Consider the following 6,914-nt stretch of genomic DNA (forward strand, 5'->3'; position numbering starts at 1 on the left):
TTCCAGTGTTATATCTTAGCTAAAAATATGTGTCCATAGATACAATAATCTAGGTTAGGTTCCAAGATTTGTTATCTCTCAAGTGAGGCCAAGAAGATGGCTTCTGCCCAGGATTCCAGGAGAGTGGGACTGCACACAGCACATAACTTACTTTGCAAGGAGGGATTGCTTGTGGTTTTCGTTAGCTCTGGAGCTTCGGAAGTCACTGTCAAGCTAGCTACTTCCCAGGAAAATATGCACTTAAAAGGTCTCCTGGGCCATCCAAATTGTGGGACAAAAATTACCTGTGTGCCCTTCTTTAGCCAACTAGGGGCCAGAAGTGATGTTATAGACAAGCTAGGGCCTTTCAGTCCTGGTGTGACTTCAGTCCTGGTGGCTGACTTGGGTGCTTTGACCAAAACAGGCCCTGTCCAAGCTTCCATTTTCTGGTGTTTGTGTGGTGTTAAGTAATATCGTGCATGTAAAAATGTTTGAAACTGAATGTGCATAGTAAGCGTTCAAGCAATGTTAGTGTTTATTACCAGTGCAGAATACCAGGTTTGAAAAGAACCTGACCAAGCTCTTGGCACATTTTGGGTGTTTTAGAAATATTACCACATTCCCTTAGATGTTCCGTCATAAGAAACAAAACACAGGATTGAGCATTAGAACAAAAGAGGGTGTGTATGATGCTGACAACAACCAACTGGAATAGTAGAATTTTGGAGGAGTAATTAGGAGAGAGTTGGGCTGCCTTAATTTCATTCAAACACTCAAATGTGTGCAGGTACATGAACACACATGAACAGAACACAGCCCCATAATATGTAATATTATCTAAGAGTAAGTTGTTTAGCTGGCTTCCGTGCATTGCTGGGCCTTGGAAGCTCTTTATCTGGAGCAGGGGTCCAGTAAGGGTGACACTTGCTCCCAGCTACAATGTGTCCAGTCAAGCGAAGGGACCAAGTCAGCACATTTCAGAGAAGCCAGCTTAGACAGTCAGGTGGATTGTTTTAAGCTGTCAGTAGTTGGAAGGACTGGGACCCAGTGGGCAGGGAAGCAAGGTGAGCTGAAGGGAGTTGTCTGAAGTGGCAGATGAGGAAGCAGCCTAGAGAAATTGCCTGATCTCAGGTGTATATATCTAACCCTGGTTTCCATTGAGAGCTCAAGCACTGTGCTGGGGTGGGGCAGGGGTTCCTGGAAAATGAACTGCCTCATGAGCAGTGTGGACTGAGGCCAGAAGGCCACTGATATGGTGTGGCTCTGTGTCCCCATCCAAATATCATCTTGAATTGTCATCCCCATGTGTTGAGGGAGGAAGCTGATTGGATCAGGAAGGCGGATTTCCCCTTTGCTGTTTTCATGATAGTGAGTGAGTTCTTACAAGATCTGATGGTTTTATAAGGGGTTCTTCCCTCTTCGCTCAGCACTTCTCTTTCCTGCTGCCTTGTGAAGAAGGTGCCTGCTTCTGCTTAGCCTTCCACCATGATTGTAAGTTTCCTGAGGCCTCTCCAGCCATGCAGAACTGTGAGTCAATTAAACTTCTTTCCTTTATAATTACCAAGTCTCAGTTATTTACAGCAGTGAGAGAATGGACTAATACAGACACACAAATCTGAGTGGGGGAAGGAGCCAAGACCCACTAGAGGAGCTGCCTGTGTGGTGGGAGGAGGACCCTGCTGGAAGCCGTGTCCAGTTTGGAGCAACTGAGCTGTCCACAACACCATATGAAAAGACAATAAGAGGCTCTGACATGGCTTCAGACTGTGTGCACCTCCACCCCTGGGCAGGAGCTCTCAAGGCCAGGAAGGGACATCTCCAGGTGATTAATCAGGAACTGGGGTTCTGATTCATGAGAGGTCCTCAGTGCAGGGAGACCAGAGGCAATGGGATCAGAGGAAGTAGGGGGTCACAAAAGGGGACAAAATTCTTGGTCTTTTAAAAATTTTATTAGGGCTTACTTGCTTTAAAAAATAGTAATTTGTACCTGTAATCCCCATGCTCTGGGAGGCCAAGGCAAGTGGACCACTTGAGGTCAGGAGTTTGAGACCAGCCTGGGCAACATGGCAAAACCCTGTTTCTACTAATAATACAAAAATTTGCCAGGTGTGGTGGCACGCACCTGTAATCCCAGCTACTCGGGAGGCTGAAGTATGAGAATTGCTTGAACCCGGGAGGCAGAGGTTGCAATGAGCCAAGGTCATGCCACTGCATTCCAGCCTGGATGACAGAGTGAAACTGTGTCTCAAAACAAACAAACAAACAAACAAACAAAAAACAGTAATTTGCCATCACAGCAATCTGCAAATTGCATTTTTTAGGTATATTTAATCATTAAAACCACCTCACTTAGATATTACAGATGAGGAAATGGACTCTCAAGATAAAAGATGTGGCCAGGTTCGTGCAGCTCCTAAGAGGTGGAACCTAGATGTGATTACTTTCATAACGTGGGTTCTTTTACTCCGTCACTGGGCCTGAGTGTCCTATATTGATCTAGGCTTTTGGAGGTGAGCAATGGGTTACTTCCTTTCCGAAGGTCACTTACGGTAGCTGTGTTTGTTCAAACGTTGCCCACGGGCAGCCCGGTGCTGTGTGAATGTGTTTGCACACACAGAAGCAGATGTGTGTCTGCGAATGTGTGATATTTATTTGTGCGTGCACCTGATTTGACATAGGGCAAGCAGCAATGGTTCTCATGGAACTTATCCAAACACCTAGTGAGGATGAGGGGCTGTTTTGTAATGCATGTGACTGAGCGGGGTCAGCTTCTGTTGTATGATGGTGCATAATTCTTTTTCATTAAGCGATGGAAACATCTGTTCTCTTCAGCCTGTTTAAAGGTTTTACTTTATTAGATATTGGTTAATGATCACAAAGTCATTTGCCTTTAAAAACAGGTGCTCCTCTCTGCATATAAAGCTGGTGTCTGAGGCTAGTGGGAGAATAAATGACCCTGTAAGCAAAGTGTGGGCATCCCCCAAAGAAGCCCTAAAGCACCCTGGAGGCGGCAGAGCATCCAGCTGAGATCCCTTGGCTTGCCCTATCTTTATACTAGTCCTGTCTACGCAAGATTATTATCATTGTTGATGTGGGTAGGGATGTGGGGAATGTACTTACTTCCATCATTGTGGAATGTCCCATTTGGACACGTAAAAGCATTCACAGTGGAGTTAGTCTAGTGACGGTTTATGGTTGCTCTGATCTTCCTTTTGCCAATAGAATAGACAGCCTGCCCTAGGATGCTGAGAAAAACAGTGAACTTTCATGGTTGCTTGCCTGATCCTCTCAGAATGGTGGACCCTGACTTTGCACGAGCCAGGCATTAGAAGGAGTCTTGTAGCCAAATTGCAACCACCACCAGCAACCACAAACTACCAGGCTGTAGAATATGACTTTAAAATAAAATGATCTATGCAACACCTGCGAGGTTGTCCTAGAGATGCTGCAGCTGTTGGCTGTGAACGTGGCTTACTCCATGTACAGGTGAATGTCAGAGATTTTACAGGAAGTCTAGGAGAAAAATTTCAGAAGTCATGATTCTTTGATCTTGTTTCATTTTAATTCTATAAACCATTCATGTTCTCCTACTATGTGCAGAGTGTGCTGAGGGACACATGATGGCTGGAAGCCATCCTTCCTTTGATGAGTTTAAAAAATATTTTTGAGCACCTAATCAAAAATTCAATTTATATCTCCATGACTGGTAACAGCCACATTCTTTCTACAACAGTGTTATGTCATAAGCAGGAAGTTCAATTTATTGCTGTCAGTGTGTCCAGAAGCAAATGGATTGGGTGAGGTAGCCTATTCTTCAAATGAGGACCATGTCGCTCTCTTGTCCATTGGTCCTTAATCTAGACTGTGCATTAGAGTCTAGGAGCTTCTAAGCATATCAAGGACAACGCCATGCCCCAGAGAATAGGTCGGAAACTTTGGGCTCAGACCTTGACAACAGGATTGTCTTTTCATCTCCTGATCATATCAACATGCAGTGACTTTCAAGAGCCAGAGTTCCAGTTCTTAGAACAAACAACAGTGTGCCACAGTGGAGAAGCCAAGTTTACTCCATTCTGAAGCAGCCAAGGTGCTTATCTTTCAAAAGCTTGGTTTGGCCATAGAGGATTACTTTGAGATCTTTAACACCTAACAATAAAAAATTCCTTAAACTTGAGAGATAGAGAGGACATAACATGTACAATGTCAAACATCCATTTATTCAACTGCCATTGGCAAGGGCATACTCCATGCTGCAACTTGTGCTGGATGCAGTGAGACATGAGGATGAGCTAGCTAACCTCTAGTTAAGAAAGTTGTAATCCAGTGAGTGAGAGGACCAAGTAAATGGATGACTCCAATCCCGTGTCATTGAGGGAAACCCATTTTATCGCAAACTGACCTAAGTAAAAATCGCTGTCCATCTTAACCCCATCAGATGGACACAGAACCCCTGCTGCAGGCCATGATGCAGGCAATGAGTCCAACCACTCACCTGACAGCTCAGCTCTTTCTACCTGAATAGTAGATGACTGGCTGTGTTCTTTGGTCCTGAGATGTGTTTCAGACCCATTCTGTGTGAAAATCCATACCTCTGGCCTAGTGCTCTGTACTTGTGCATTCCTATAAAAGTCCATGATTCTGTGTAGTAGATGTTATCATACATTTATACATTTATTTCATGGATAAGAAAATGTGGGTTGATTAGTTATTTTTCCCTTCTGGGATATCAGCCTTTTGCACAGTTTTGCTTTAGCGGGAGAGACCTCCCCTTCCATCTGTGACAGTGGAACTCTGGCAACTACACTTCACTTCAGCCTCCTTATTTGAAAAGAGAGGAAGAATCATGTAAGGAACTAAGTCCAGGCCCCTAAAACAGCATTAGTGGAATGAGCCACACAAAGAGAGCTGGGATGCAGAAGAGCGGCCTAAAGCTCTGTTCTGGCATGTGGGTGGGGCCTTCCTCTTGTCTGGTTAGACTCCACCCAGGTAACTGATGCGTTGGCGGTCATCAAGTCTCCCCCACCCTGAAATACGCCAATAATCCTTGTTTCCCCCTAACACTCCATTTTTATTCTCCCAAATCCAGATATTTATACAGTAATTTTAAAGTCTCAGGTTCTGTAAAATTCCTTTATACTTAAAAAAATTAGAGTCTGTATATTTACTGTGATCAATGCATCTTTATTCCATCCATGAATAGCTGACCTAGAAAAGTTTTAAAAATCTTCACTTTTGGCTCATAGGACCACATTGCGGAACTTGAGAACTTACGCTACATATTCGACACATCATTAATTTTCTTTTGAAGTAGAGGTGGTGCTACTGGGTTGCCTTCAAGAGAAAAATTTGCATAAAGACTACGGGTGTTTATGAAAAGGTTGAGTTCTACTTTCTGCTCTCTGTCAAAGTAATTGTGTGAGCTTGGGCAAGCTGTGTGGTTGGACTCTCAAGGCCTTAATTTTCTCACATGTAAAATGAGAAACTGGTGTTTCATTTGAGGTCCAATTTGAGTTTTTGAGCTCTATACAGGATATCATGTGAGACCACAAAGAACATCCGAGTATCAGTTAATGAGAGTGGAAACACCAGTGATTAAATGATTCACCTAGAAAGCTATAAGGAAGGTCTGGGGGATCACAGCTATCTCTTAAAACAGCCCCGTACCCCTGCTGAGGGGCACACCAAGGCTGTGTCTGTCGGAGCAGAATGCTCAACCCTCCTTCCCCTCCGGCTCCCAGACAGCACTTGAGGATTAAACGTGGAAGTTCCCGTGAGGAGGCTGGCTCAGAGCAGGCACCCACACATGCCACTGCCACCTCCCAGCCCTGCTTTCACACAGACCACGGTGGCGGGGCCCTCTGAGGACTGGATGTTCATGATGGCATTGCACATAGCACTATCCTTTGTGTCCAGGTGACAGGTTCAGGAGAGTCAGCTTCCCGACAGGGCGGTAGGTGGCAGGTAGTTATATTGTTTAGTAGCTAAGGAATAGTTAGGTGTATGTTGGCTTTAAGAAAAATAAACACAGGAGCAGTTGGGTCCCTTCTGTTTTGCTTTTCTGGCTGGCTGCTTCCTGCTTCATAAATCTGGGGAGGGAGGCGAAGGAGGCAGTGAGCTGCTTCCCTGAGCCCCAAGCCTGTGTGTGTGTGCATTTGTGTGCATGTGTGTGTGTGTGTGTTGGGGGGAGTCAGCCGCAGCACCTCTCTGGACCAGCTGCTGCGTCCATCTGCAGCTGGGGCCGGCTCAGTGGTCTATGGCCGCAGTGCTGCACTGGAGGGGCTTTTTTGCTGCTCCGTGGCAGCTGGTGTGAATGGGAGTGGAAAAATAAACTCTCCTCTTCCCCAACATCAGGAAAAATGCTCCCAAAGACAATCTCAACTCTTCCATCCTGGGTTACGATTCTCGGGCCTATGATGTGAGCCCCTGTGGCTGGGACTTTCAGTCTTGAAGACCTGCCTTTTTCATCTAAGAGCGGATTGAATCCCCCAGGATATATCTTAAGATTGGCATTCCGGCTCCCAGCTTCCAGAGGATTTAGGAGTCCCTTGAGAAAGGTTGGTCTTGAATTAAGAGGAAAAACACCTTCATTTTCATTTACTTTGGATTTTAATTTCAGAAACATTCTTTGAAATGACTGATCACAAACAGCTATTGCATTAGCCATTGATTGCACTGCGTTTTACTGGCCCAGCTTGGCCACCCAGAGGCCTGGAAATGGTCCGCGAGTCTGTGCAGCCACTACTAAGTCCGAAGTCAGGCCCAGCACACAGCAGGCCCCACTGAACCATGTGGAAACACCTCTTTGTGAAAATGGCTTTACTCCCCTCTGGAATTCCGATGGTCCAGTTCAACAGCACAGAGACCTTGATAGGAGCTTAACTAAAGAGCCAGATCAGACATTGCCATTTCCTTTCATGGTGCATAATTTTTATAGA

General features: G+C 45.2%; 1 annotated feature.

The window, feature by feature from the left end:
• Window positions 6,151-6,650: an enhancer, noted in NCBI's record as "H3K4me1 hESC enhancer chr2:7249837-7250336 (GRCh37/hg19 assembly coordinates)". NCBI's record gives its function as "activates a minimal SCP1, AML or CMV promoter by ChIP-STARR-seq in naive H9 embryonic stem cells {active_cell/tissue: H9 hESC(naive)}" and the evidence as "EXISTENCE:reporter gene assay evidence [ECO:0000049][PMID:30033119]".

The sequence above is a fragment of the Homo sapiens genome, chromosome 2, assembly GCF_000001405.40.
Source record: "Homo sapiens chromosome 2, GRCh38.p14 Primary Assembly".
Taxonomy (NCBI): Eukaryota; Metazoa; Chordata; class Mammalia; order Primates; family Hominidae; genus Homo; species Homo sapiens.